General features: G+C 55.2%; 3 protein-coding genes and 1 non-coding gene across 25 annotated transcripts in view, besides 9 other annotated features; all 4 read left to right on the top strand.

Moving 5' to 3' along the window:
• Positions 1 to 5,452, top strand: part of COL7A1 (collagen type VII alpha 1 chain) — a 31,257-nt gene extending 25,805 nt beyond the window's left edge. For 2 of the 6 annotated variants that reach the window (XM_017005688.2, NM_000094.4), the window contains 17 exons: positions 79 to 150; positions 670 to 741; positions 991 to 1,026; positions 1,355 to 1,435; positions 1,634 to 1,687; positions 1,762 to 1,815; positions 1,889 to 1,951; positions 2,335 to 2,397; positions 2,502 to 2,618; positions 2,788 to 2,865; positions 2,962 to 3,015; positions 3,210 to 3,258; positions 3,857 to 3,889; positions 4,029 to 4,115; positions 4,324 to 4,416; positions 4,545 to 4,742; positions 5,103 to 5,452. In XM_017005688.2, coding sequence (XP_016861177.1) covers positions 79 to 150; positions 670 to 741; positions 991 to 1,026; positions 1,355 to 1,435; positions 1,634 to 1,687; positions 1,762 to 1,815; positions 1,889 to 1,951; positions 2,335 to 2,397; positions 2,502 to 2,618; positions 2,788 to 2,865; positions 2,962 to 3,015; positions 3,210 to 3,258; positions 3,857 to 3,889; positions 4,029 to 4,115; positions 4,324 to 4,416; positions 4,545 to 4,742; positions 5,103 to 5,119 — 1,221 coding nt within the window. In that variant the 3' untranslated portion in view covers positions 5,120 to 5,452. Of the gene's footprint in view, positions 1 to 78; positions 151 to 669; positions 742 to 990; positions 1,027 to 1,292; positions 1,436 to 1,633; positions 1,688 to 1,761; positions 1,816 to 1,888; positions 1,952 to 2,334; positions 2,398 to 2,501; positions 2,619 to 2,787; positions 2,866 to 2,961; positions 3,016 to 3,209; positions 3,259 to 3,856; positions 3,890 to 4,028; positions 4,116 to 4,250; positions 4,417 to 4,544; positions 4,743 to 5,102 lie in introns of those variants that run through there. The other 4 variants (XR_001740005.2, XR_001740004.2, XR_001740003.2 and 1 more) reach the window with 4 other exon arrangements.
• Positions 476 to 1,423: an enhancer, noted in NCBI's record as "H3K4me1 hESC enhancer chr3:48605535-48606482 (GRCh37/hg19 assembly coordinates)". NCBI's record gives its function as "activates a minimal SCP1, AML or CMV promoter by ChIP-STARR-seq in primed H9 embryonic stem cells {active_cell/tissue: H9 hESC(primed)}" and the evidence as "EXISTENCE:reporter gene assay evidence [ECO:0000049][PMID:30033119]".
• On the top strand, positions 5,744 to 7,807 carry UCN2 (urocortin 2). The gene is made up of 2 exons (NM_033199.4): positions 5,744 to 5,822; positions 6,389 to 7,807. The coding sequence occupies exon 2, from the start codon at positions 6,401 to 6,403 to the stop codon at positions 6,737 to 6,739; it is 339 nt and encodes a 112-aa protein (NP_149976.1). The 5' UTR covers positions 5,744 to 5,822; positions 6,389 to 6,400; the 3' UTR covers positions 6,740 to 7,807.
• The window catches only part of PFKFB4 (6-phosphofructo-2-kinase/fructose-2,6-biphosphatase 4), a 45,453-nt gene continuing 24,402 nt past the window's right edge, over positions 6,389 to 27,439 (top strand). For 4 of the 17 annotated variants that reach the window (NM_001317135.2, NM_001317137.2, NM_004567.4 and 1 more), the window contains exons 1-4: positions 12,722 to 12,844; positions 19,291 to 19,407; positions 19,565 to 19,661; positions 25,879 to 25,945. In NM_001317135.2, coding sequence (NP_001304064.1) covers positions 12,748 to 12,844; positions 19,291 to 19,407; positions 19,565 to 19,661; positions 25,879 to 25,945 — 378 coding nt within the window. In that variant the 5' untranslated portion in view covers positions 12,722 to 12,747. Of the gene's footprint in view, positions 7,939 to 8,395; positions 8,474 to 12,424; positions 12,543 to 12,721; positions 12,845 to 13,291; positions 13,440 to 14,581; positions 14,601 to 15,515; positions 15,663 to 19,290; positions 19,408 to 19,564; positions 19,662 to 20,865; positions 20,994 to 25,878; positions 25,946 to 27,439 lie in introns of those variants that run through there. The other 13 variants (XM_017006615.2, NM_001317134.2, XM_017006614.2 and 10 more) reach the window with 9 other exon arrangements.
• Positions 9,123 to 9,262: an enhancer, noted in NCBI's record as "active region_19837". NCBI's record gives its function as "activates an Ori minimal core promoter by ATAC-STARR-seq in GM12878 lymphoblastoid cells {active_cell/tissue: GM12878}" and the evidence as "EXISTENCE:reporter gene assay evidence [ECO:0000049][PMID:35858748]".
• Positions 9,318 to 10,259: an enhancer, noted in NCBI's record as "H3K27ac-H3K4me1 hESC enhancer chr3:48596699-48597640 (GRCh37/hg19 assembly coordinates)". NCBI's record gives its function as "activates a minimal SCP1, AML or CMV promoter by ChIP-STARR-seq in primed H9 embryonic stem cells {active_cell/tissue: H9 hESC(primed)}" and the evidence as "EXISTENCE:reporter gene assay evidence [ECO:0000049][PMID:30033119]".
• Positions 12,010 to 12,099: an enhancer, noted in NCBI's record as "active region_19836". NCBI's record gives its function as "activates an Ori minimal core promoter by ATAC-STARR-seq in GM12878 lymphoblastoid cells {active_cell/tissue: GM12878}" and the evidence as "EXISTENCE:reporter gene assay evidence [ECO:0000049][PMID:35858748]".
• Positions 12,230 to 12,319: an enhancer, noted in NCBI's record as "active region_19835". NCBI's record gives its function as "activates an Ori minimal core promoter by ATAC-STARR-seq in GM12878 lymphoblastoid cells {active_cell/tissue: GM12878}" and the evidence as "EXISTENCE:reporter gene assay evidence [ECO:0000049][PMID:35858748]".
• Positions 16,442 to 17,103: an enhancer, noted in NCBI's record as "H3K27ac-H3K4me1 hESC enhancer chr3:48589855-48590516 (GRCh37/hg19 assembly coordinates)". NCBI's record gives its function as "activates a minimal SCP1, AML or CMV promoter by ChIP-STARR-seq in naive and primed H9 embryonic stem cells {active_cell/tissue: H9 hESC(naive and primed)}" and the evidence as "EXISTENCE:reporter gene assay evidence [ECO:0000049][PMID:30033119]".
• Positions 17,104 to 17,767: an enhancer, noted in NCBI's record as "H3K27ac-H3K4me1 hESC enhancer chr3:48589191-48589854 (GRCh37/hg19 assembly coordinates)". NCBI's record gives its function as "activates a minimal SCP1, AML or CMV promoter by ChIP-STARR-seq in primed H9 embryonic stem cells {active_cell/tissue: H9 hESC(primed)}" and the evidence as "EXISTENCE:reporter gene assay evidence [ECO:0000049][PMID:30033119]".
• Positions 17,768 to 18,429: an enhancer, noted in NCBI's record as "H3K27ac hESC enhancer chr3:48588529-48589190 (GRCh37/hg19 assembly coordinates)". NCBI's record gives its function as "activates a minimal SCP1, AML or CMV promoter by ChIP-STARR-seq in naive H9 embryonic stem cells {active_cell/tissue: H9 hESC(naive)}" and the evidence as "EXISTENCE:reporter gene assay evidence [ECO:0000049][PMID:30033119]".
• Positions 18,430 to 19,093: an enhancer, noted in NCBI's record as "H3K27ac hESC enhancer chr3:48587865-48588528 (GRCh37/hg19 assembly coordinates)". NCBI's record gives its function as "activates a minimal SCP1, AML or CMV promoter by ChIP-STARR-seq in naive H9 embryonic stem cells {active_cell/tissue: H9 hESC(naive)}" and the evidence as "EXISTENCE:reporter gene assay evidence [ECO:0000049][PMID:30033119]".
• On the top strand, positions 19,504 to 19,564 carry MIR6823 (microRNA 6823). Its single transcript, NR_106881.1, has one exon. It is a non-coding gene; the product is annotated as a microRNA 6823 (primary transcript).

Here is a 27,439-nt window from a genome sequence, read left to right as displayed (position 1 = left end):
GGCATCTGAGAGCTCAAACTCCCAGAGGGTGAGGGACCTTCAGCCCCTTACCGTGACTTCTTACCCAAACCAACCCAGGGTGAACGAGGGCCTCGGGGCTTGGATGGTGACAAAGGACCTCGGGGAGACAATGGGGACCCTGGTGACAAGGTACAGGGAAGAGGGTGGTGTACTCTCTGTGGGGTCCTGTGGCTGTGGTGGTTCCACAGCATCTGTGAGGGCAGGAGGGGAGGACAGGAGGAGGCTTTCTGGGGTTTAGGGGGAAGGGGTTCTGTGGCTGACTATGGAGTGGCCGAGAGGAGGGGCTCTAGGGAGGGCTCAAGGCCTTGGTGTGAGGTTAGGAGAGCTCTGTGGACTGGCCCTATGAAGGGGCCCTATAGGGACAGGAAAGGGGCTCCTTGGGTGTCCCCATCTGAAGGTGCTTCAGATGGGATGAGGAACCCAGTGATAAGAGGGCGGGGCAAGGGTCTGGAGTCCTTGGGGTGAGAAATGAGCCAGTCTGTGGACTACAGCCCCCAGTTCCACCCGCTATGGCACAGGCTGGGAGGACGTGCTGCTAGGGCCGTTCGGGAGTGACTTGAGCTCTGCCCCAGCTGGCGGGCTCGTTGTATTCTAAGCCCCCAGCCTGATCTGGTCCTGACTGAATCCCTCTCCTGGTCACTCCCACAGGGCAGCAAGGGAGAGCCTGGTGACAAGGGCTCAGCCGGGTTGCCAGGACTGCGTGGACTCCTGGGACCCCAGGCAAGTTCTGCCCCAGGCCCAGGCCCAGGCCCAGGTCCAGAGCCAGCATCACACACACACATATCCTGGGGGTCCTCTTAAGTGCTGGGGGTTCTGGCTCCCTTGCTGCCGGCCCCATGTGTGTTCACCCGGGATCTGTGTGTGGCCTGGGCCCTGGCCGCTGAGCATCTGAGTGGCCACACATGCAGCGGATGGGCCAGTGTTGGGGACAGTCCCACTGAAGGGCTCCCCCATCTGTGTTTCTCACAGGGTCAACCTGGTGCAGCAGGGATCCCTGGTGACCCGGTAAGATGCCCCTGCTCCCACAGGGGCCCCCTGTCCCCAGAGGGCCCCCGTCACCATGGTGGTCCCACCAGTGTGGTAGCTTTTGACCTTATAGTGACCCAGTGCTCTCATGGTGTCCTCATGTCACCCAGGGTCCCCCACCTCCACAGTAGCCGCCTATGATGGTGTCCCCTGCCTATGGTGACCCTTGTCCCCATGGCAAGCCCCAGTGGCTCTGGCCTCCAGAGGTGACTCCCACCCCATGGTGTTCCCTACCCACTATCCAGGGCGATTCTCTTTGGTCCCTCACTGACCTCCTCTGACCTCACATGGACCCTCTCCCTGCTAGGGATCCCCAGGAAAGGATGGAGTGCCTGGTATCCGAGGAGAAAAAGGAGATGTTGGCTTCATGGGTCCCCGGGGCCTCAAGGTAGGAAAGAAACAAGATTGGTTTTTTTCTGGTCAGGAAGGCCTAATGTTGAAGGGCGAGGGACCTGGGGTCAGATATTAGGGCACTGGGTCAGAGGTTGGAGTAGCTGAGGCCTGTTTGGAGAGTTAGTTTCAGGGTGAAGGGGGTCACAGAGTGAGGTGTCTGGGAATCACTTCTTCATCTGCTTTTCTCCCTCAGGGTGAACGGGGAGTGAAGGGAGCCTGTGGCCTTGATGGAGAGAAGGGAGACAAGGTACAGAGGGGATGGGGGCTGGGGGGCTACGTGGCCTGGGGCCTAAGGCTCACCCCACTGCCTGATGCCTGCAGGGAGAAGCTGGTCCCCCAGGCCGCCCCGGGCTGGCAGGACACAAAGGAGAGATGGTGAGTGTGGGCACGCTCAGAATGAGGGGGCCACGGGTGGACGGGGGCCAAGTTCATGTCTTTTTTTCTCCAGGGGGAGCCTGGTGTGCCGGGCCAGTCGGGGGCCCCTGGCAAGGAGGGCCTGATCGGTCCCAAGGTACAGGGTCTGTGGACAGTGGACATGACAGGGAGTCAGGATGGGGCAGGGAAGCTCATGGTCGGGTCATGGGGGTGTAGGGACAAGGAAGGCTGTAGAGGGTTGGGACTTTGGGGGCTGAAGTGGGGCTGGTCTCGAGGTGTCAAGGTGGGTTGGGGTCACAGTGGAGTTAGGATGAAAGCATGGGAGGTGGAGGGGGCATGTGCATCAGGGCAGGGGGCTATAGTGGAGTTGGAGTCATGGGGATCACATCTGGTTGGCTCACAGGTGCTTGGGTTACAGAAGGTTTGGGCATTAGGCCAGGGAGCTCATGGGAGTTCAGGGAGGTTCCAGAGCTGAGGGAGGTCAGGGCAGAAGGTCTCTCATGCTTCTTCTGTTCCCAGGGTGACCGAGGCTTTGACGGGCAGCCAGGCCCCAAGGGTGACCAGGGCGAGAAAGGGGAGCGGGTGAGTTGAAGCCATGGTCATGGTGAATTGAGGGGAGCGTGCACTTTGGGAGAGGGTCCATCTCTGGGGCCTCTGATTACTGACTCTGTCCTATATCTCCCCAGGGAACCCCAGGAATTGGGGGCTTCCCAGGCCCCAGTGGAAATGATGGCTCTGCTGGTCCCCCAGGGCCACCTGGCAGTGTTGGTCCCAGAGGCCCCGAAGGACTTCAGGGCCAGAAGGTAAGGGGCCCCAGCTCTGACTCCTGATCCCTGAACCTTCCCTACCCTTCCAACCTCATAACCATCTTCCAGCCTGCCTGCCCCAACCTCTGAAGCTGTGGCCCCCAACCTGCCTGACTCTGATCCCCACTGCCTCTGACCCTGCTCACTTGGTCCCTGTGTCTGACAGGGTGAGCGAGGTCCCCCCGGAGAGAGAGTGGTGGGGGCTCCTGGGGTCCCTGGAGCTCCTGGCGAGAGAGGGGAGCAGGTGAGTAGGGATTCCAAGGCTTGGGTCAGAGATCGGGGTGACTTCTGTTGTCCCTGAGGTCAGAGGTCACAGCCTGGTCCCATCTGTTGCACATAGGGGCGGCCAGGGCCTGCCGGTCCTCGAGGCGAGAAGGGAGAAGCTGCACTGACGGTGAGTGTGGGCCTGGATGGGCCTGGGAGGGCCTGGGTGGGCCTGGGTGGGCTGGGGCCCTACCTCCCTCACCCAGCACCCTGACCCCTGGGCCCTGGCTCCATGCAGTCTCACCATAGTCCCTGTATTATGTGCCCTATGTCCTTCCTGTGGGCCATGGGTTCTTTATGGTCCCTGTGGTCTTCTGCTCCCAGGAGGATGACATCCGGGGCTTTGTGCGCCAAGAGATGAGTCAGCACTGTGGTGAGTGGTGCCCAGCCCGCAGTCTCCCACTCCACCCCAGCACCCTAGGCAAGGGCAGGCAGGCCCCTAGAACTTACAGGGCAAGCAGTCAAGAAGATGGGGGGATGGATGGATACACAGAAGGACACATGTGCTGCAGGACTGACACATGACATGTGTCCCCAGTGGAGGGAGACACACAGGCAGATGAGGATTGCCATGCAGTGCTCTCAGATGTCCAGCTTGGCTGTGTGGGGAGTGGGATGATGGTGGGAGCAGAGCTGGTCCCCTTGGGCCTGACCTGGACCCGGTGGGAGGGGCATCAGAGTGAAGCTGTCTCTTCCCGTCTCTGTCTGCACCACCTGCCTGTTTCTGTGTCTGGCCTGCTTCTGTCTCTTGCCTTTTGTTGGCCTGTTCCCAACTTCCCTCTCCTCTGCCTTCTTCTCTTTTTCCATCTCTCTATCTACCTCCCACCCTCTCTCTTCCTCTCTCTCCTGTTACCCTCTCCTGCTATCTCTTTGTGTATCTCTACCCCTCTGCCTGTGTGTCTCTGTCTGTCTCTCCATCTTCCCATCCTTCTCTCTGTCATTGTCTCTCTATCCCTCTCTGCCCCCTCTAGCCTGCCAGGGCCAGTTCATCGCATCTGGATCACGTGAGTAGTTTTCTACTCCCAGAACTTTCTTCACCCCAGGCCCTGCCCTGCCTATCAACTGGGGTCCTCTCAGGGGGGTTGGCTGGGATGGCTGCCCATGGTGACTTCAGGGCCCTGAGGCCCCTGCTCTTGGCTCCAGGACCCCTCCCTAGTTATGCTGCAGACACTGCCGGCTCCCAGCTCCATGCTGTGCCTGTGCTCCGCGTCTCTCATGCAGAGGAGGAAGGTGAGGACAGCTGAACCCGTGGGGCAGCTATGGGTGGGGCCGAGACACGCACATGGGTGTCCATGAATGCAGGGCACACGCCAAGCACGTAGGGTCTGCATGCAGGGCACACGCATGGGCACTGTGTGCACACAGTGGAAATCAGTGCTGCCCACCTTGCCCCGGGGCCAGCAGCCACTGCTCCCAGCACACCCTGCCCTACCTGCAGAGCGGGTACCCCCTGAGGATGATGAGTACTCTGAATACTCCGAGTATTCTGTGGAGGAGTACCAGGACCCTGAAGCTCCTTGGGATAGTGATGGTGAGAATGGGGGGCTGCCAGCGGGGTCTGGGGAGGGGCAGGCAGGGCTGAGCCCTGCTGACCTCCCCCTGACCTTTCAACCCTCTCTGATTCCCACAAACCCTGCTGACTTGACCCCATTGGCCCAGACCCCTGTTCCCTGCCACTGGATGAGGGCTCCTGCACTGCCTACACCCTGCGCTGGTACCATCGGGCTGTGACAGGCAGCACAGAGGCCTGTCACCCTTTTGTCTATGGTGGCTGTGGAGGGAATGCCAACCGTTTTGGGACCCGTGAGGCCTGCGAGCGCCGCTGCCCACCCCGGGTGGTCCAGAGCCAGGGGACAGGTATGGGCTGAGCCCCCACCGTGGGGAACTGGGCACTGAGCCTGCCTGGATCGGGTTCTGGGGGAGGAGTCCTTGGGCCAGGGTTCCAGGTCAGGGTCCTGGAGGAGACGCTCCCTCGCAGTAGGGGACCTGGGGCAGACGCCCAGACCAAAGAGCTGAATATAGAGCCCCAGCCGTGGAGCCCCCAGTAGGGTCCCCTTCCATGTTCCCTCCTTTAAAGACCTAAGTATGGACCCCTCTGAGGTCAGAGCCCCCACTTCCTGTTGTAGCCTCCGCTCCCTCCCCTTGGCGGTGCCTCTGCCTGAGCGTCTCCGGGGAAGGTCAGATGGCTGACGACCGTTTCCAACCTGTCCTCACCAGGTACTGCCCAGGACTGAGGCCCAGATAATGAGCTGAGATTCAGCATCCCCTGGAGGAGTCGGGGTCTCAGCAGAACCCCACTGTCCCTCCCCTTGGTGCTAGAGGCTTGTGTGCACGTGAGCGTGCGTGTGCACGTCCGTTATTTCAGTGACTTGGTCCCGTGGGTCTAGCCTTCCCCCCTGTGGACAAACCCCCATTGTGGCTCCTGCCACCCTGGCAGATGACTCACTGTGGGGGGGTGGCTGTGGGCAGTGAGCGGATGTGACTGGCGTCTGACCCGCCCCTTGACCCAAGCCTGTGATGACATGGTGCTGATTCTGGGGGGCATTAAAGCTGCTGTTTTAAAAGGCTCCTGTTGTGACTGTTTGGGAAGATGGGGGGTTTCAAGGGGGAAGGTTTTCCTTGGGGGGTTGGTATTATTCTGCATGGGTACAGAGTCCCTCTGCCCAGTCCTGGTCACTGTCTTGTGATTCTCAGTCCCCAACTTGTCCCCGGAAAAGAGTAGATAGGGTGGGGGCTAAGGACACCCCCGGGAGGGATGAGTCATAGGTGGGGGGCTGCCTCATGCCAGGAAGCATGTACCAGCTCCCACCCCAGGGGGCTGAGGGAGATAAATGGGCCCTGAAGCGGGGTAGAGGGTCAGACCACAGGACAGTAGTGCCTGGCCCCAGCCCCAGGCAGCCACAGCAGGCTGCCTTACCCCAGAAGCAGCTGGTGGCGGTAGGACTGGGTTGGGTCGGGATGGGAAGGGTCTTGGAGGTTGAGTGGATGTGGGGTTTGGCTTTATGGAGGGCTTGGACCCAGGGGACTCTGGGATCTCTGGCTGCTTTTCTGCCTCTGAGATCCGATTCCTGCCCTTCTGTTTCCTGGATCAGCTGCAAGCTCTCCTGCTGAGAACCGCCTGCCCTCCTGTGGACTCTGTGTTTCTGTCTGAATCTTTCTTTCCATCATGCTGTCTGTCTCTGGGATGGTTTCTGTCTGTCTTTTTCTTCTAGTCTCCATTTTGCTCTGCCTCCATCTCCTTCATCTCCCTCTCTTGCTGTCCCTCTGTCTCTGGATTTCTTTGTTTCTTTTTTTCTGTCTTGCTTTCTGCCTCTTTGTCTCATTCTGGCTCTCCTCTTGTCTCCCCTTCTCTGTCTCTGGCCTGGCCTGGCCTCTCTAACCCCTTTCTCGGTGTCTTCCTCTCTCTCCATCCCCCGCTCTGTCACTCTGCCCTTGCCATCTGTCTCTGTCCATGGACCCCAGTTGACCAGAGCCCCTGCCCTGAGCCCATTTTCTCCTTGCAGCCTGACCTCACGATGACCAGGTGTGCTCTGCTGTTGCTGATGGTCCTGATGTTGGGCAGAGTCCTGGTTGTCCCAGTGACCCCTATCCCAACCTTCCAGCTCCGCCCTCAGAATTCTCCCCAGACCACTCCCCGACCTGCGGCCTCAGAGAGCCCCTCAGCTGCTCCCACATGGCCGTGGGCTGCCCAGAGCCACTGCAGCCCCACCCGCCACCCTGGCTCGCGCATTGTCCTATCGCTGGATGTCCCCATCGGCCTCTTGCAGATCTTACTGGAGCAAGCCCGGGCCAGGGCTGCCAGGGAGCAGGCCACCACCAACGCCCGCATCCTGGCCCGTGTCGGCCACTGCTGAGCCTGAGAGAGGGGGTCACAGTGATAGGGCCACCCTGGATGGGAAGACCTGGAGGGCAGCCACACAGCTGGACGGATGCTGCCACATCTGGGCATACAGTGTCTGGACGCTGCCACATCTGGGCATACAGTGTCTGGACACTGCCACATGGAGCCACTGTCATGCAGGTCATATCAGATCTGAGTGCCCCACAGAGTCACAGTGTGTCTGGACAGCCTGGACATTGGACATTGCTAAGTTGGGTCACTGCCACATGGAGTCTTGCCATGCCTGTGTGCCCCACAGACCTAATATATGTCCGGACAGCTTGGATGCTGCCACGTAAGGTCACTGCTGTGGCGAGTCTTGCTATGTCTGGGTGCCCCATAGTCACAGAACACCTGGACACCGCCACATGCAGTCATCATCATGTTACTTTCAGGAGCCTCAACACGAGAGCTCAACACTGCCTCCGACCAGTCCCTCTGAGGCCCACAGGTCTGTCATCCCATAGGCCACCACACAGAGAAATGCTGGCTGAGGGTCACTTGCTTGCTCTGTGCCCCATGAGGCAGCACCTGCCCCAGATGGACGGGGCTGTGAGGGGTGTCTCCAGGCACAAAGGCCCGAACACAGGAAGCCTGTGACCATGGCAGCCTTGTCTTATGGGCGCATATGTGCGTGTGTGGCTGAGTCTCTGACAGCTGTGAGTGTGTGTGAGCAGGGTAAGGGTACGTGAGGGGTCTGAGAGGAGTGGGTGCTTGTCCCCCAAACCTGCATGAAGCAAGAACAACTCCTGGCCAGGCCCTGTCCTCCCCACGTACCCCTGCATCCCCAGCCTCGACCCAGGGACATGCAGGGCTCACAGGAGACAGGGCTCAGGCTGCCGGAGCTCCAACCAAACTCTGTCCCACTTCACGCACGGACTGTCCTGGGCAAAGGTGTTCACCTTTCCGAGCCTCGGTTTCCTTATCTGTAAAGCAAAGCGACACCAGCAAGCCTGTGAGCATTGTGTATATAGCAGACATGGAGGTCCTGCAGCAGGAGGTGCTCAATAAACACAAAGCGACTGAAGGATGGGACCAGCAAGCCTGTGAGCATTGTGTATGTAGCAGACATGGAGGTCCTGCAGCAGGAGGTGCTCAATAAACACAAAGCGACTGAAGGATGGGATGTGCGAGAATCCCAGTGGTGTGCACCCAGGCCGCGACACATGGTGGGTGAGTCATACCTGGCTTCTCTGCCTTCCTCCCTAGCTCCCCGGTTAACTGACCTGGTCCCTTGGTTTGGAAGGACTAGGTTTTGCCTGATTTCACAGCCCAACTCCATTGCTGGGCCAGAGACAGAACTGACTTTCCAGGCAGTGTGGACGGGCTTGCCCGCAGAGGGGGCAGGCACTCTGGGCTGTGCAGACAACTCTAGGTGGACATGAAGGCAGACGCTGGGTGGCATGGGCAGCTCTGGCGGGAGAGGGAGACTGTACTGGCCACAGCGTGGCCGGCTGACTGGAGTGGGGGCACTGGCGCTGCCCTCACAGTTGTAAGCAGCCCTGTGGGGGCGGGCCTACAGTGGGCTGGGGAGGCGGGGCTGCAGGAGCCGCAGGAGTCGCTTCTCTCTCTTCAGAGTGCTAGGCGGGGTTACCCCACTCTGGAGCTGCAGGGGGCAGTGGCCCTGGCCAGTTTGGTTGCAGGATGGACAGAGGCTCGTTAGGAGGCAGCTCCCTGACCGACCTGGGGCCGGGGAGCAGCAGGCGGGGTAGGCACGGGACAGCGTGGGGAGGGTGGAGGGTTAGGGAAAGACCTGGATGAAGTCAGGGTGGTGCTGGAGGGGTGCGAGAGTGTTGGGGGGTCTCTCCTGGTTTAGGGGTGCTCTGAGGGCCATTCATCTGTCAGTGGCCCGAAGGAGGGGGAAAACTGTCGCCCTGCAAGGGAGAGGGGGCTGGGCCAAGGGGGAACTATAAATAGTGTCTTCCTCCAGCCCAGGGGGAGGGACCGCCAGCTGGCGCTGCCCAGGCCCTCCTGCTCTGCTCTTTGCTGGCCTCCAAGGGATCATGTTTGTCCAGGTTTCCTCTTGGGGTCACACCAGTTTGGGGAAGTCTAGAGGCTCATTTAGGATGGGTTTCACATGATGTGGCTTTAGCCCTTAAACCAGCACTTCTAGGGTGTCTGCTGTGTGCCCTGTGCCAGTCCTGAGCTTCTCTGAACACCTGCTGTGTACTCAGTTTGGTCATGAACCTCTCTGAACCCTTTCTGTGTGCCCTTGCTGGTCCTGAATCCCTAAGCACCTACTGTACGCCCTGTGGCAGGCTGGAAGGAGGAAGTGCAGATCAGGGTTCCCAGGCTGCTTGGTGACATGGTTCTATAACCTGAAGTCAGAACTTCACACTCCTTGTGAGCCCTGGGCCCAGGGAGACACAGGGGACAATCCTTTGCTGGAAATGGCCAGAGGAAGCTGGAATTCCTGGAAACTCCTGAACCTCCCAGTGGACAGCAGGGCTGGGGGTGGAGAGATATATGTGGGAAGGGAGGCAGCAGAGAGCAGCAGGCCCCACTGCAGCCTGCCTGTCTCTGCACATGCTGGGGTGCAGGACTTGTGAGTGTGTGTGCGTCTGTGTGTGCATGTGCAGCTGTGCCAGTGTCTCTGTGTGCATCAGTGTGTGGGCCTGTGTGGCATGCACTGAAACCCCTGGGTCTTTATGCTGCAAAGGGTGGTTTGTGGGCCAGATGTGGTGGCTAATGGCTATAAACCCAGGGCTTTGGGAGGTTGAGGCGGGAGGATCGCTTGAGGCCAGGAGTTCAAGGCTGCAGTGAGCCATGATTGCACTATGTGCTCCAGGCTGGGTAACAGGAGCGAGACTGTGTGTGTGTGTGTGTGTGTGTGTGTGTGTGTGTGTGTGTGTGTGTGTGTGGTGGGATGGTTTGGCAGTTCTGTCAGGACTGGCCAGTAGATACAGGGACTGGGAAGAGTTTGAGCTTTGAGAACTGGCCACCACATGGCTTCTAGGCTGGGACACTGGGAGGAAGTCCAGTGGTCAGTGCAGAGGGCACCCTGGGAGCCAACCAGGGTCAGGCCAGCCAGGTTCATGGTGGGCAGAGGCTGAGCAGAACATGTTCACACGTGTGTACAGACATCCCAGCATACTTCCCACGCCTGGGACAGAACAGCTGGCTCACTTTCGGATATACTGAGGAGGAAAAAGCCATGAGGGCCAGAGATTCTACCGGGCATCCGCTGATGCTGAGAGAGCAGACGCTGGGACAGCATCTCCATGGAGAGGACACAGGGGAGTGGGAGCACACATGTGAAGGTGGACTGTGCGATTCCACTGTAGTGTGGCAGGCAAGGTCTGGAAGGCTGGGAGTTGAGCTGAGTCCATGCTGCACTGTGGACTCGCTTTGTGATCTTGGACCCTTCTCCCTCTTCCTGACCCTCAGTTTCCCACCTGACAAACAGGGCCATGGGAGGGGAGATGGAGAATATCCTCAGAGCAGATGTGGACGGTGGCCTTGGGGAGGAACCCCAGGCATCTCCTGATGTTGACCTGTGGCCTTCCAGCTGGACATAGGGCCTTGAAGGAGGGTGCCTGGGTCAGCCACGGGTAGACTTTCTGGGGAAGAGAGGAAGGTGCAGAGCTGTTGCATTTCCTGGGAACCAGGCTCATCCTGTCTGGGTGTGAGGATGCCTTCCCAGAGATAGCCCTGGCCCCCTGCCCAGGCCAGCTGTCCTCTACCCCCAGCCCTTGATTAGCATCCCAGGAGGTCTGGGAAGAGAATGGACAGGCCAGAGGAGGTGCTGGGTGTCTGTAGATATCAGAGGAGATAGCTTTTGCAATGAGTGCTGCGGGTTAGACAGGGTGTGGGCATGTGGTAATGAGGTCTCAGAGGCCACGGTGGCCCCAAGATGGCCTTGGCAGTGGCCAGAAGACAAGAGGGCTGGCTGTGTCACGAACAGAATGAGTGGCTTTGGAGAAGTAGGGAGCAGGTCACGAGGGGCACCCAGCTCATCAGGAGCCGCCCATGGATGTGCTCAGATCTGCTGGGACTGGGGTGGAGGAATAAGCGGGTAGATACTGCAAAAGGAGGATGAGGAAGGAGGAAGTTGTTGACTCTGCCTGGGGCAGGGTGTTCCCAGGGCAAGCAGCTAGAGCTGGTTTGGGGGAGGGTCCAGATGGGCTTCCAGCATGTGGACCTTTGGAATCTTCAGTTCCTATGAAGTGGGCAAGACATCTGTGTCAGTCATCTTAAGGGTCCTTGCCAAGCTTTAAAGAGCTGGGTGGACTTGGACTGATCCAAGGCAGGGCTGTGGCAGGGAGGGCATGGGAGGGGGTGCTACACCTATAGCCCACGAGGCCAGTCTTGTTGCCAGTCCCATGCCCTCAACACCTGGCTCCTGGCTGGGTACACACTGGGCAGAGAGAACCTGAGGATGCAGGGCACCTGCCAGGGGTGTTGTGGATGACATCGCTAGAGGGCAGTGTGGCTCAGGTTGAAGCCGTGTTGGTGGGGGCTGGGGCAGAGAGTGTACAAAGCTTGGAGAGGCGGGGCTGGGGATCCCGAGGAGGCGGGAAACTGCAGGAGTCCGGTGGGGGCCAAACAAGAAAGTGAGCCAGGGGTTTAGGAACTTCTGGATCTCTCCCTTGTTCCTTGTCCCCAGTGCATTTTCAAAGACAAGAGGGAGATACAAATATAGTAAAAGGCAACCATAACGTATTTTAAAATGAATTTCTTAGAGATTGACATACTTAATTTATACTGTAATACTGTAAGATAGACAATGTGCACATCCCATTTTCCTGAAGAGAAAATGTTATTAACATATTATTTTCAAAAAATATGTAAAACTTTAGTTAAAAAAACCAAAATACTAAAAATCAAAAAAAAATTGTAAAAAATGAAATTCTGGAAAGACGATTAAGATACTCCCAGGGCTTAGTGAGTACCCAAAGTACTTGGTTACTAAGTGCCACGCACGGCCGGGCGCGGTGGCTCACGCCTGTAATCCCAGCACTTTGGAAGGCTGAGGAGGGCGTATCACCTGAGGTCAGGAGTTCGAGACCAGCCCGGCCAACGTGGTGAAATCCCGCCTCTACTAAAAATACAAAAATTAGCAGGGCGTGGTGGTGGGCGCCTGTAATCCCAGCTACTTGGGAACCCGAGGCAGGAGCATCCCTTGAACCCGGGAGGCGGAGGTTGCAGTGAGCCAAGATAGCGCCATTGCACTCCAGCCTGGGCAACAGGAGCGAAACTCCGTCTCAAAAAAAAAAAGTCCCACGCATTTGCTCCCAGCAGCCAAAGCAAAGAAAGAGGAACAATATTGAAATGTGTTTTGAGTCTCTATCCATGAGGTAAAAGAGCTTTTCCAGCGTGGTTGAGCATGCTCCTATGGACGGCGGAAGAGTCCCGGGGCTCGGAGCAGTCAAGGGGGACCCCGAGGAGGGGCAGGAGGGCGCAGCGGAGTTGACGGCTGGGACTGCAGGCCTACTGGCCCCTGTCGGCTCTGACCAACCTGGCCGTGCGGGTCACGTAGGCCTCGTCCCACTGCATGAAAACCCCTCCCTCCTGGGGGCCCTGGGCTCCCTAGCAAGGAGGTAGCAGAATTCACGCGTGCCGCTGCTCAGGGATGCAGCGCCAGGGCGGAGCCCGTAGGTGGGGCCTATGCAAATCAGCGCGGGCAGGTTGGGAGAGCTGAGTTTGCGCATCCGGGGCGGGCCTGCACAATCCGGGCCTTGAACTGGGGCGGGACCAGTACAATCCGGAGTTGAGCATGCGCATTCTCGATCCTGGCCTGAAGAACTGGGCCCACTTGTTCCAAAACGGGCGGGTAGGTGAGTTGGGCATGCGTGGTCGGAGGCCGGGCCCCTTTCAGCTGGGGCGGAGCCTACTCACTCTGGGGCGGGACCTGCGGGAAGATAGACATGGGCTGTCGCGGCTTGAGGAGGGGCGGGGCCCAAGGGGCGGGACCTCGGGTGGCCCGAGGTGGCCCGGCTGCTGGGTTGGAAGCGGCGCAGTCCGACTCATCCCGGCCCCGGGATGGCGTCCCCACGGGAATTGACACAGAACCCCCTGAAGAAGATCTGGATGCCATACAGCAATGGGCGGCCCGCTCTGCACGCTTGCCAGCGCGGTGGTGAGGCGGGGTCCTCTGGGAGGAGGTGGGAGGTGCACCGGGATGGGTGGGTAGGGCGGCCTGGGCGGGGGTCTCGCATGGAGAAGGGGCGGGAGACAGATGGGGAACCGGGGACAGGTGAGGTTGCCGTGACTGGGGAGGCTGCTGGGGACAGGTGAGGCGGTCGTGACAGTGGTGGGCCAGAGACAGGTGTGGCAGAGCAGGGGGCGGGGACAGGTGTGTGGGGGCATATCGGCTTGGCGGTGGCTAGGTCTGGCCACCATCACCTCGGGGAGGGCTCTGGCCCCCTCGCTTCCCTCTCCAATCCCCATCGCCCCCAGTCTGGGGAGGACCCTGTGGGCACCCCAGGCCCTTCCCTCTCTCCTGGCCAAGGAGTGTGGGCCGGGTTGTTGGACTGGAACTGAGCTGTGTGGCCCTAGGTGAATTACTTGGCCTCTCTGAGCCCAGAACTTTCAAAGGTGGGCTAGTTTTCCAACAGGAGGAAGGGTGCCTCTTGGCCTTAAAGCTGAGCTTGGGCAGGAACTTCAGCAGAGATGTGCTCAGGATAGAGACAGAAAAGTATGCCGTGTGGGCCTGTGTCTGTGTCCCGGGACATGTAAGTATCCACCTGGGGTCATGGGTGTACAGTAAAACTGGAGAGTGAAACAGCTAGGAGAATGCTGAAATTCATGGAATTGTTAAGGGGCTCACCTCTCCTAGGGTCCCAGGTGTTTAAACCGCTTCCTTGAGTTTCTGCCTGTCCTTAAATGAGCTGGCAGTTTTTTTTTTTTTTAAGAGATGAGTCTCGCTCAGTGGCCCAAGCTGGAGCAAGTGCAGTGGCGCGATCATAGTTCACTGCAGCCACGACCTTCTGGGCTCAAGCAATCCTCCCACCTCAACCTCCCGATTAGCTGGGATTATAGGTGCGCCACCACACCCAGCTTTTTTTTTTCTTTTTTCTTTTTTTTTGTAGAGACAGGGTCTTGCTATGTTGTCTGGGCTGGTCTCCAACTCATGGCTTCAAGTGGATCCTCTGGCCTCGGCCTTCCGAAGTGTTGAGATTACAGGCGTGGGTCCTGGCCTGCAACTTTTTTATTACCAGGAAAAGAAAGATTTGTTTTAGGAGTAACTGAAACATTGTAATGAATTTGCAGCTTGTCCAGCACCTCAGAGAACATCTAGTTTAACAGACAGTGAAATGGAGATCAGGAGATTGAGTGACATGCCTGGGTCTCCCTGTGATCCTGCCTCTGCTTATGTATGATAAGCAAGGGGAGAGTTCTTTGTGCTCATCCTGCTGCAGCAGCCTGGAGCCATGGCTTTGATCATGATATGAGTCCTGGGGGAAGGGTGTGTGTATTTCTGGCCACACTGTGAGTCCTGGCAGGGGAAGGCCATGTTTCTGACCAGACCAAGTCGTGGTAACTCATGGCTTTGATTGTGATGTAGGTCCTGGTGGGGCTGTGCTGTCTATAATGCACACTCAGTCCTGAGGGCTATGGCCACCCCTCCTTTGAGACTCTTCTGGAGGCGGGGAGGCTGAGCCAGTCTGTGTTATTAGGGCTGTGTGGTCCTGACTTAGGGGGGTGGCTGCTATTACTACATAGGGGAAAGGAGTGAGGACCTGGACTTTTTTTTTTTTTTTTTTTTTGAGACGGAGTTTCACTCTTGTTGCCCAGGTTGTAGTGCAGTGGTCCTATCTCAGCTCACTGCAACCTCTACCTCCTGGGTTCAAGCAATTCTCCTGCCTCAGCCTTCCAAGTTGCTGGGATTACAGGTATGCGCCACCATGGCCGGCTAATTTTGTATTTTTAGTAGGATGGAGTTTCACCATGTTGGCCAGGCTCGTCTTGAATTCGTTATCTCTAATGATCTGCCCCCCTTGGCCTCCCAAAGTGTTGGGATTACAGGCATGAGCTGCCATGCCTAGCCAAGTCTGTGAGCCTTTAAGGAGTAGGTCCTCAATAAGCGGAGGCAGGGTATTCTGTCATCACTACCATTCTTTCTTTGCTTCTCACTACGTCTGAGTCAGGGATTGATGCATCAGCTCCAAGCCAACCCCCGTTACAGGTGAGAGGAAGCTGAGGCCCAATGGGAAGGTCTCATAGCTCCTGAGGCAGGGCTTGTGTTTCTCCAGGCTCTAAGTGTGGAACTGAAATGTGGCTCTGGCCTGAGCTGAGGGGCTCGTGCCATCACGGTGTCTCAGGGTGTTGGGGTAGGCTGGGTTCTAGGTCCGCACTTTTTCCTGGAGGAGGAGGTAGCACCTGAGAGGCCAAAGATGAGACCTGCAGGTTGTTTGGGGATTTGGGCCTCAGGGTTCACAGCAGGGAGTGGGTAAGCAGTGAATGAACATGGAACCCGCCCATGCAGCACCTCCAGCTCCCAGTGCCTGCATTTGGGCAACACTTTACCCTTTGCATAGTAGACTTGTAGGTTGAGTGACTGCAAGGACAGTCTGGACCCGGAGGGTGTGGGTGGGGATGGAAGCGGATTTGGTCCCAGGGCTTTGTGGGGAGGAAGAAGCAGGACCCACTGCTGGTCTGTGCTTTGTACTGGGTTTTCTCTGGAGTCTAGTCCCCAGCTCCTCAGGGCACTAGGGGCTGGTGGACTGAGGGATGTACTGCACCTCCTCCACTCCCACAGGCACGCCCCCGCTTGATAAAATTTAAAGCCACACCTGAGGGCTTGGGAGGCTTTTACCTTTCCCATCATTGGCCTCCGAGCTCAGACCTGGAGGAACTCTGAGGGCAGGTGGGGCAAGAGCTGACTCAAGAAGGACTGCAGAAAGGACGGTGTTTGATGGCTTTTCTCAGCTGAAAGGTGGCAAGACTCTTCCTGGGTAAGGACATGACTGGTGTGTGCACAGGGCAACAGGAGAGATGACTTTCAGTCCCCTCTGAAAAGGGCCTCCATGGCACGTTACTTTATTTTAAAGAGCTCTTCCTTCCCTAGCCTGGCCTAAGGAGGTGAGAGCAGTTGCAGTTCAGGAGTCAATTCTGGCACCCCCTCCAGGGACTTGTGGCTGCTCCTTGGGTAGAAGTAATGGAACATAGACACTGCCCATTGCCAGGCACGTCTCAGGCCCCTTGGGCCCCTTCGCTCCTAGAGCTCATGGGGCCTGCAGCGAATTTACAGGAAAGGAACCCATGAGGGAAGTTGGGCTGACATGTCTTCACATTTCCTTCCGCACATGCTCAATGTTATAAACAGTGTGTTCTTTTTTTTTTTTGGAGACAGTCTTGCTTTGTCCCCCAGGCTGGAGTGCAGTGGCACAATCTTGGCTCACTGCAACCTCTGCCTCCTGTGTTAAAGCAATTCTCCTGTCTCAGCTTCCCGAGTAGCTGGGATTACAGGTGTGCACCACCACACCCGGCTAATTTTTGTATTTTTAGTAGAGACAGGGTTTCACCATGTTGGCCAAGCTGGTCTCGAACTCCTGACCTCAGGTGATCTGCCTGCCTCGGCCTCCCAAAGTGCTGGGATTACAGGCATGTGCCATCACGCCCAGCTATAAACAGTGTATTCTACCATCCTGTTTGCTCAGTGTCAGGGTCCTGTGGGCTCAGAGCCACAGGTGCAGCCGTGCACCCAGCCCGCTTAGTCCACGTGCTCTGTTTTGAGAGCTGCAATGTGTTCCCTCCTTGTTGTGCCTCAGTTGGCAATTTCTTATGGCTGGAATTTCCCAGTGTTTTGCTATGGTAAGCAGAGCTGTTGTGATACACTTGAACTTTGGTTTTCTTTTGGGTCATTTCCTTGGGAGCTTATCTTGGGGAGCAGAGGAGATAGGTAATTTATTGCCTTGTTTTGCACCCAGGCCTGATTTGCTGCCCTGCCTGCCCACCTTGTGCTGCGCATGTGGGTGGAAGGCGGGAAGGGAAATGCCACCAAATGCCATGGGAGGAGGCTGGAGCTGTCTCTGGGAAAATAGGAGATGTGGAGAGGGGGTGCAGATCCCCAGTCCTGAGGTTTTGGGAGTCCCTGAAGGAGCAGTTGGGGGGTGGCCCCATCAGCGGGAGCAGGGTAGATGCAGGATTTCCTCCTGCTTAGCAGCTGTCGCACTGCCCTTGGTTGCTTGAGAGCCCGGCCACCTGGCCGGGAACTATGCAAACAATGCACAATGCGGGCCTCAGCTGTCCACCGGCCCTGAGGAGGCAAGGCCTTGCCTAACTTGTTTTCCTCTCACCTTAGCTAATACTGAGAGTTCTCTGCAAGTTTCTCCACTCTCACTCAGTCAGCCTGTTTCATGGGGTCTCCTCCTTCCCGCCCCTGAGGCTCACCATTTGGGTCACCTTTAAACAAGGGGAATGCACAGGAGTGATGGAGCCCCCACTGGCAAGCAAGGCCCTTTGTTTCTCTGCAGGGCCTGCCTGGGGCCAGGCCACCGCCTCCATGCCCTGAGTCCCAAGGGCAGTCGGTGCCGAGGTACACCTATGGCTTTAGCTCAGTATCCGCCAGGGTAGGACAGAGGGCACAGCTTCCCAGAAGTGCCCAGGCTCTTGGATAGCACTAGGCTTCTCTGAGGGATGACTGCCCCATTTTACAGCTGGGGACACCGAGGCTCAGAGTTCCCAATGAGTGTCAGACTCAAGATGGCAACCCAGGCCTGACTCCTGATCCCCTGCGGAAGTGCTTCTGGGGCCTCTGTGCTCTGAGGGAAACAACTTGTTGGTGGGGACAGTCTGTCTAGGCAACCAGGTGAAGGCACTTGCAGAACCAAGAAGAGGGGCAGTGACAGGTCCCCACATCTGTTCATCTGCCTGTCTGCTATGGTTTTACCTGACCCAGGTCCTAAGGATGAGGAAAAGGAAGCTTCCTGAGGCTTCTGACGTGAGACCGCGTTTGATGGCACTGGAAACTGAGCTGAGGGCTGGGCTCACGCCTGTAATCCCAGCACTTTGGGAGGACGAGGCAGGCAGATCACCTGAGGTCAGGAATTCGAGACCAGCCTGACTAACATAATGAAATCCTGTCTCTACTGAAAATACAAAAATTAGCCAGGTGTGGTGGCATGTGCTTGTAATCCCAGCTACTTGAGAGGCTGAGGCACGAGAATTGCTTGAGCCCGGGAGGCAGAGGTTGCAGTGAGCTGGGTACCAGTGTCCTCCAGCACTCCAGCCTGGGCAAGGGCGACAGAGCGAGACTCCCTCTCAAAAAAAAAAAAAAAAAAAAAAAAAAAAAAAAAGAAGGCTGGAGGTGATGGCTCACACCTGTAATCCCAGCACTTTGGGAGGCCCAGGCAGTCGGATCACCTGAGGTCAGGAGTTTTGAGACCAGCCTGACCAACATGCCGAAACCCCGTCTCTACTGAAAATACAAAAATTAGCCAGGTGTGGTGGCAGGTGTCTGTAATCCTAGATACTTGGGAGGCTGAGGCAGGAGAATCGCTTGAACCTGGGAGGCAGAGGTTGCAGTGAGCCAAGATCGCACCACTGCCCTCCAGCCTGGGCAACAGAGTGAGACTCCGTCTCAAAAAAAAAAAAAAAAAAAGAAAAGTGAGCTAGGTCCCATAAGATGAAGCTGGCAGTTCTGCTGCCTTGGTATCTGTTCTAGCCAGCTGGGAATATAGGGGGCTGTATTCAGATCCTTCCGTGCCTCTAGCCTGGCATCTTCTCTGGCTGGCACACTGACCTGTGGCACATGGATGGTGGTGGGTGGGCTATCAGAGGGACTGTCCTTGTGGGCATCAGTCTGGGTCTCTGGTCTCAACCCCTTGTGGTCCTTACCCTGAGAGACTTCTAGATGCCTCCCTCCCTGATCCTGCCCACAGTTCCTGAGCACCAGCGCTGTGCCAGGCCCCAGGGCCCTAAAGGGCTCAGATACCACAGGGCTTCTTCTGCTGTAAGTGATCAGTCTAGAGAGAAGAGTGTCATTAGTGAGGTGACCAGGATTGAGGGTGAGGGGTGTTCCCGGTGGCCATGGAGATGCCTTGGGGAAAGGACTCATTGAGGAAGTGACTTTTTAGCTGGGCTTTGTATGATGAAAAGAAGTTCACCACAGGGAGGGCATGCAGTGGGGCTATGTGTTCTGGGAGCACTGAGTGATGGATGGGGTGGGAGAGATGTAAAAAGGTTAGGGTATGGATTCCTGGATGACAGAGGCAGGGTGTTGATTACCCTGCTGGGTTTTGGTCCTGTCCTTCATGCGGTGGGGACCCCCCTAGCCATGTTTAGCCAGTGGCAAGTTCGGTTGACTTTATGCCTGGTGGTGCACATCAGGATGAAAAGGGCTGGAGAGATCCCACTGTGTCTGCCAGAGCCCAGGCGGGCCTGGGGAAGGGGGACATGCCAACGGTGGCTTGAAACCAGCATCTGGGGCCACTCCAGGAGCTGTGTGGGGATGCTAGGAAGCCAAGAAGATACGTCTGATGCCAGTCCCATGCCCTGAGGCTGAGAGACCACAGGCTGAGAGGGAGGGGTGCGCTGGGAGGGTCCCAGCCCTCATCTGACACTGTGCTGCTTGCCTTTTAGTGTGCATGACCAACTGCCCAACTCTCATTGTCATGGTGGGCCTGCCCGCCAGGGGCAAGACCTACATCTCCAAGAAGCTGACTCGATACCTGAACTGGATTGGTGTGCCCACTCGGGGTGAGGCTTGGCCCCAGCTGTCTAAGGGGAGCTTTGTGGGGCATGACGAAGAGAATAGAGAAGGCCTATTCTCTATTATTTGGCCTGGGGTTGGGTCAAGGTCAGGGTTGGTAGGGGTTGCTGTTGCTGTGAAAGCTGAGCCTCTCCTTCCCTCCAGAGTTCAATGTTGGCCAGTATCGCCGGGACGTGGTCAAGACCTACAAATCTTTTGAATTTTTTCTCCCCGACAATGAAGAGGGCCTGAAAATCAGGAAGTAAGTATATGTGTTGGGTGTGGGGGGAGAGGTTGCTGGGGGACCCAGTGTGGAGAAAGCTAACACATTACTGACCATTTACTGAGAAGCCCCTGGAGTGGAGCTGCTGGTGAATGACTGAGCTACTCCTGAGCCCTGGCCTTGCCCAGCCCTGATGGCTGTGTGACAGGGCTGTGTGACAAGGCTGGTCTCTGGATCTCTCAGGATGTGGTGGGGGTGGGAGGTGATGGGTTTGGGGATGAGAGGAGAGGGTGTGTTGTGTGGCCTCCTGGTGGCTGGGCCATTCCTGCCCTGGGGTTAAGGAACCCTTGGGAAGGACAGAGCTTCAGGGAGGTAAGAGGGGCTCAGCCCATGCAGGTCGTTGGAGCTGCTGCCTGGAGGTCACGCTCGCTCACCCCAGCGCCCCGTGGGGATGGCTGCTGCTGGGGAAGGGAACCTGAGTGAGTGCAGGCATACAGGCCTTAGGGATGGAGCTGGGGGTGGGGGGCTTCCTCCCTTGCCCCAGGATAAGCTCTCTCCTGTGTATTTGGAGCATGTTCTTGGTGTGTGATTGCTGGTGCGATTGGCTTTGCATTGACATCTCCTAGATGCTGCTGGGTGAGTCGTTCACACTTCTGCTGTTACTCTGGAGATAGAAATATGTATATGCTACCGCCCCACCCTCAACAACTTTCAGACTTGAACTGAGTCCTTTCTTCAAGGAACTGAGCACCAGCTGGTGGTCTGAGCAGCCATGCTGTGCTTTTCTCAGGAGGTGTTAGCTGTGGTCTTGAGAAGCCCCTTATCAACCTAGGGTGGCAGAGACTTGCTCTTGGCCCAGCCATCAGGATAGGGCAGTGAGCAGAGGTTGACCCAGCTCTAGTGACTTCCCCAAATCAAGCCCAGTGGCTACCAGGCTGCCACTGGGGTCCACACTAGGCTACCCGTTCCTTCTCTGGCCACCAGGGGGCAGGAACTCCCTGCTGTGGGGCTTGGACCTTCAGACTGGAGACTGCCTTTGTTCTTGCATCGGTGTGGCTGGGCCAGGCTGTGGCACCAAGAAGGGAAGGGGAGCCTGATATTCAGGTTTCTATGGCCAAATTGTGGGTAAAAATCAAGGCTGGACCCTCTGGTTATATTGAGCCAGATAAAAAGTAGAGGACTAATGTCTGAACCTACCGTGTGCTGGGTTCTTGATGCCCATTGTCACCCCCTACTTTTACAGATGAGGAAACTGAGGCTCAGACAGGCCAGGAGTCTCGCACAAAATAGCAAGTTTACATCAGCGCCCAGACTTGAATCTAAGCCCATCCACCGCTAAAAAGTGTCCATCATTCCAATATTCCTCAATAGGTAGGTCAAGGAACATCAAATGCAAATTTTATTTATTTATTTTAAAAATTATTATTATTTGTGTGTGTGTGTGATGGAGTCTCACTCTGTCGCCCAGGCTGGAATGTAGTAGTGCAATCTCAGCTGACTGCAACCTCCGCCTCCCAGGTTCAAGCAATTCTTCTGCCTCAGCCAACAACCCCAAGCTGTGGACGCTGATAGCCTACTGTCTGATCTTCCCAGCAGCTTCTGTGGTGGGCGGTGCCTCACTTTTCCAGATGCTGGGACCAAGGCCAGAAAGTGATGGGGGTGCCTTGGGTCACTCAGGGTTTGAATTTGAAGTCCGTCCTGCCTGAATCCATAGTGTTTGTGGGGAGAGTCTGCCAGCTGTTCCACTCTGGCTGTCCCCCTAAGGTAGGGATATTTGGGATTAATTCAAATGAAGAGACCTAGACTCAGAGAGGTTGGGAAGCTAGTCCAAGGTCACCCTGCAACAGAAGCTGGGGACAGGCTCATTGCTGCCTTTCTGCAGGCATACCCTCTGGCTGCCCTAGAAACCCTCTCTGCTGTATCCGAATCCTGGCTCTGGCTGGGCCACAGGGCCATCTCCTATTAATCAGCCCAAAATTTCCCAATTAGCAAAATAAAAGGACCAGAGTTTTTAAAATGGAAAACCTGGGAAGAGACAGCTGCATTTCCCAGAGGCCCAGTTACTCACACAGTGTTGAGGTCCATCTCTGACACTGGACACAGCAGAAGATCTAGAAAAGTGCGTGCAAGGCCGGGTGCAGTGATTCACGCCTGTAATCCCAGCACTTTGGGAGGCCGAGGTGGGTGGATCACTTGAGGCCAGGAGTTTGAGACCAGCCTGGCCAACATGGCAAAACCCCATCTCTACTAAAATTACAAAAATTAGCCACATGTGGTGGGGCGCCTGTCATCCCAGCTACATCAGGAGGCTGAGGCATGAGAATTGCTTGAATCTGGGAGGTGGAGGTTGCAATGAGCCAAGATTGCGTCTCTGTGCTCCAGCCTGGGTGACAGAGTAAGACTCTGTCTCAAAAACAAAGTGTATGCAAGGGCATAAGTACACATATTCTAAACAGGCACACTCATACTCCTGCACACAGTCCTATACCACACACAAGCCCCCTATGCACACACACACGTGGGCACATGCATGCATGTGCATACCTCATAGGCACACATCCGGACATGCGTATACCATATGCACAGGGTACATACACATGCACACCCCCTGTGTACACAGTCACGTTATACATAAGGGTATATGTACATGTGTGGGCACCTACACATATAAATACTTGGGCTCACTTAAGCCACACGTAATTCAAGGGCCATTACACACACGAAGGCGCACATGTTCTCACCCTGTATATACACACACACCTGAGCACGCTCATACATGGTGTGTAGGGGGTCCCCAAGACTGCCCTCAGGTTCAGTGATTTGCTAGGGTGACTCCCAGGACTTGGCATATAGCTGGACTCATGGCTAAGACTTAGTACGGCAAAATGACACAAAGCAAAATCAGAAAAAGGGGCCTGGGGTGAAGTCCAGAGGAAACCAGGAGCGAGCATCAAGATTTTCTCCTCATGGAGTCACACAGGACGCACTTAATTCCTCCTGCATTGAACATTGACAACATGTGTAAAATGTTGTCTGCCAGGGAAATTCATCAGAGACTCAACGACCAAGGTTTTTACTGGGGGCTGGTCATATAGGCACCCTGTGCCTAGCATGTACCAAAATTCCAGACTCCCAGAAGGAAAGCAGATAATCAACATAAACCATGTTGTTTGTATAAACAGTCTATGCACAGTGAGCTCCTCTTATAATTCAGGGAAAGTTTCATATCACTAGAGGGAACTGTTTACCATCAAGTTCCCCAACCCTGGCCAAGGGCCAACCTCACAAGCAGGCCTTTCGAAGGGGACCATTCTCATACCTGCTGTGTTAACTCTTCCACACACATGCAGTCACCCACTACACATGAAGGTGGGTGCACACACATATGCATACCTCAGAGTCATGTGTGTGGGCACATATACGCTTGTGTTCACCTGTATGCACATGTGGATCTGTGCACATGTACACACCAAGCATGATCGCATATGTTCTCACACAGTCACATGGCACATGAAGACATGTATACACACACACCATGTGTACACACATGGTCACCCCCACATGCATACTCTGTATATGCTTGGACACACACACACAAACTTATACACATGGGTGCATGCACACACATCCTGTGTGCACACATGTGGGCACACTCACTCATACCTGTGCCCATTTAGTCACATACCGCACACAGGGGTTGTGCACGCTCGTGTGTGTGCACCTGTGCTCATACATGGGCCCAGGGAATACTCACACAGGTACACTCACAGATTTACATGTACACACTTGGGCACAACACACACATAACCACCCACACGTGTGGATTCATGCACATATGCATCTCTTCACCCCATTTGCACTCTCTTATACACACACACACACACGCACACACACAGGCTCCCAGGCTCTTCCCTCAGCATCTCCACCGGGGCCCTGAGGTCTCTCCTGCATGGTGGTGTCATGGCCAGAGCAGCCCACAAAAGAGATCTTAGCCCAGAACGTGGGGCTCTAAGGAGAAATGTCCCTACCAATGCCAGTTACCTGGACTCTCAGAATTCAGATGTTTTTGGCATGAGGAAGAAAGCACTTTGAGGCTTTAACTGGAAGACCCATTGGGGCACAGAAATGGTTACAAGGGCTGGACATAGTAGCTCACATGTGTAATCCCAATATTTTGGGAGGCTGTGGCGGGAGGATCACTGGAAGCTAGGAGTTAAAGACCAGCCTGGGGAACATAGTGAGACCCTGTCTCTTAAAAAAAAAAAACAAAAGAAAGAAAAGAAATGTCACAAGGAGCCGTAAGAGTAGAGCTCTTTTCAGTGCCCTGGACTCAGCTCTACCACTGATTTCTTTGTGGTTCTCAGATCAGCTTCTGCCGCTGTATTTCAGGCATATCGTCCTGATGAGAGCCCTTTGACTTTGACATGCTGGGAGTTTAAACACAAAATCCAAAGATCAACAAAGCCAGGAGGGCTGGGCACTGTGGCTCAAGCTTGCAATCCCAGCACTTGGGAGGCTGAGGAGGGTGGATCACCTGAGGTCAGGAGTTCAAGACCCACATGGCCAACATGGTGAAATCCCATCTCTACTAAAAATACAAAAAATTAGCTGGGTGTGGTGGCACATGCCTGTAATCCCAGCTACTCGAGAGGCTGAGGCAGGATAATTGCTTGAACCCAGAAGGTGGAGGTTGTAGTGAGCTGAGATCATGCCACTGCACTCCAGCCTGGGCAACAAAGTGAGACTCTGTCTCAAAAAACAAAAAACACAAAGCTAGGAGATCTAGCTTTACCCTTACATAGAAAAAGGGAAGATAATAGATAAAAAGGTAATTTATCTATCTCCAGACCTCATAGGATAAATTGATGAGAATAATCCTGGCTGGGTGCAGTGGCTCGCGCCTGTAATCCCAGCACTTTGGGAGGCCAAAGTGGGCAGATCACTTGAAGTCAGGAGTTCGAGACCAGCCTGGCTAACATGGCGAAACCCCATCTCTACTGAAAATACAAAAATTAGCCAGATGTGGTGGCACGTGCCCATAATCCCTGGTACTTGGGTGGCTGAGGCACAAGAATTGCTTGAACCTGGGAGGCAGAGGTTACAGTGAGCTGAGATTGCACCACTGCACTCCAGCCTGGGCAACAGAGAGTAAGACTCTTGTCTAAAAAAAAAAACAAACCTTCTGTGTCAATCCACTTTGCAGCAATAAATGAAAAAGCTGAGAACTTAAAAAGATTGTGTAAGCCTGGGCAACATAGCAAGACCCCATCTCTAAAAGAAATTTAAAGATTAGCCAGGTGTGGTGGCATATCCCTGTAGTTTCAGCTACTCTGGAGGCTGAGGCAGGAAGATTGCTTGAGCCCAGGAGTTTGGGCTGCAGTGAGGCATGATCCCACTGCTGCACTCCAGCCTAGGTGGCAGAGCGAGACCTTATCTCAAAAAAAAAAAAAAAAAAAAAAAAGATCTGAAAACTGTATAGTCAGTGTTTGGTCATAGGTGGGGGATTCCCATTCTGGAGGGTATGGATATGATAGAAGAAGAGATGCAGAACCCTCCCTCAGAAGGGGTGGTTTGGGGAACTCTCTTTCAGGAAAGAAAGTTGAGCACTAAGCCTAACACTGCCCGAGGGCCAGCCCTAGTGTTCCTCCCATCCCCACCACCAACTCCTGACATGCACACAAGAAAACGGCTGCTTTTAAAAATGCTTATTTTGAAATATAAAAATTAGCTGGGCGTGGTGGTGCACGCCTGTAATCCCAGCTACTCAGTAGGCTGAGGCACGAAAATTGCTTGAAACTGGGTAGAAGTTGCAGTGAGCCGAGATCGCACCACTGCACTCCAGCCTGGGTGACAGAGCGAGACTCAGTCTCAAAAAAAATAAATAAATAAATAAAAGGCGGGCGGGGGGGGGCTTATTTTGATAATCAGGGAAAATATATGACAATTAGAAATCATGAATGTGGCACAATGACAGCATGGATTTGTGCACAATGAGAGGATGAGGGAAAATACAGAAACGTAGTGCTTAAAAAATGTTCCTAATAGCCAAGAGTGTATAGCCTTCCACCTCACAGGAGCAGAGTTAGCCAAACACTGAACATTATCCTAAGGAAAGAGAAGGGAAACTTTGAAAAGAGAGCAAGAGACCTCGGGGCTGTTCCTTCTCCTGTCATGTCTCCTCCTGTTGTGTGTCCCTGGCCACCCTCCTGGAGCCAGGGTCGGGTGCTGGGCTGACCCTGTGTTTTCTCTCCTGAAGGCAGTGTGCCCTGGCAGCCCTCCGTGACGTCCGGCGGTTCCTTAGTGAGGAGGGGGGACATGTGGCGGTGAGTGTGACACCCTGGTGACAGCTGGGAGTGACACATGGGAGCCCATCCACATCTGTGCCTTTGCTCGTCAGGCATCTGGAGGGGAAGGCAGGGTGTGTGTGCCCCAGCTGCTCTGGGTGCCAGCCCTTGGGAGGAAGTCTGCAACAGCTATGCAGGAGGAAGCCAGAGACTGGATATGGGCCAGGAGTTTCCCTCTGGGCATGTGGTGGCCGCATTTGACCCTGCAGGACTTCCCTCTGGATGCTTGTATTCTTGGCCACCCCAGAAGTTACAGGTATCAGGTTGCCTAAGTCTTTAGTAAATGTGATTTCTCCTGGTGTGGGGAGAATCCTGCCCAGCATTACTGGTTGTTGTAGGAACCCACTGAATCCTGGATTAAGGGGATTCCACCTGTGTGTTGGCCCTTCTAGTCAGACGGAAGAGCAGAACAGGGCTAAACTGGGGTGTCTGTGGGAAACGGCTCTACCCCAGCCTTATATAGTCAAACACAGGGGCTGTTCTTTCCCTTCCTTCTTCTTCCTGGAGTCATGCCTTCTGGAGTTCTCTGTCCCCAGCTACAATCTGTGCCTGTAGCACAGCCATTGCCCTTCTCTCTCCTGGGTTGAATGTTCTGCCTGTGGATCCCACATCATCCTCTCTTTGACTTACTGATTTGTTTCATTGAAGCACATCCTCCAGTAACTTCCTGAGAAAGGTGCTTGGGGAGGTAAATTGTGTGAGACCTTGCACATCTGAAATGTCTTTTTTTAATCCTCACATTTGATGGTTGGGTATAGAATTTCTAGGTGGAAAGTGCTTTTCCCTTAGAACTTCTACAACATCACTCTGATGTCTTATGGCTTCTAGTGTGGCTGTGGAGAAGTCTCATGTCATTCTGATTTGCTGATCTTCCTAAAAGCTTCATCTCTTAGAGGGAGCTGAGAGTTTCTCATGCCCCTTCCGCTTGGGAGGCCTTTAGGGTCTTCAAGGTGATGTGGTTTGTGGTGGGTCTTCTCTCCACCATACATGGTCCTAGGGGGCCCCTTTTCATCATAACACTCTTGTTCTCCAGGTCAGGGAAATTGTCATGTATTATTTCTTTGACAAATCACCTCTGCCCCTTTCTGGCAACTCACTCCATCCCTACTCCCATTTTCTGAGCTGCTTTTTCTAGAACTTCTGGTGGCTACATGCTAGCTTGATTCTGAGATTCTGATTTTATCTTTTTTCTCTTAATTTTCTTTCTTTCTTTTTTTTTTTTTTTGAGATGGAGTCTCGCTCTGTCACCCAGGCTGGAGTGCAGTGGCGTGATCTCGGCTCACTACAAGCTCCTCCTCCTGGGTTCACGCCACTCTCCTGCCTCAGCGTCCTGAGTAGCTGGGACTACAAGCCCCCGCCACTGTGCCCGGCTAATTTTTTGTATTTTTAGTAGAGATGGGGTTTCACCATGGTCTCGATCTCCTGACCTCGTGATCCGCCTGCCTCTGCCTCCCACAGTGCTGGGATTACAGG

This window comes from Homo sapiens, chromosome 3 (genome assembly GCF_000001405.40).
Source record: "Homo sapiens chromosome 3, GRCh38.p14 Primary Assembly".
NCBI lineage: Eukaryota > Metazoa > Chordata > Mammalia > Primates > Hominidae > Homo > Homo sapiens.
Note: the sequence above shows the minus strand (reverse complement) of the source record. Positions and strands in the feature narration are given on the sequence as shown.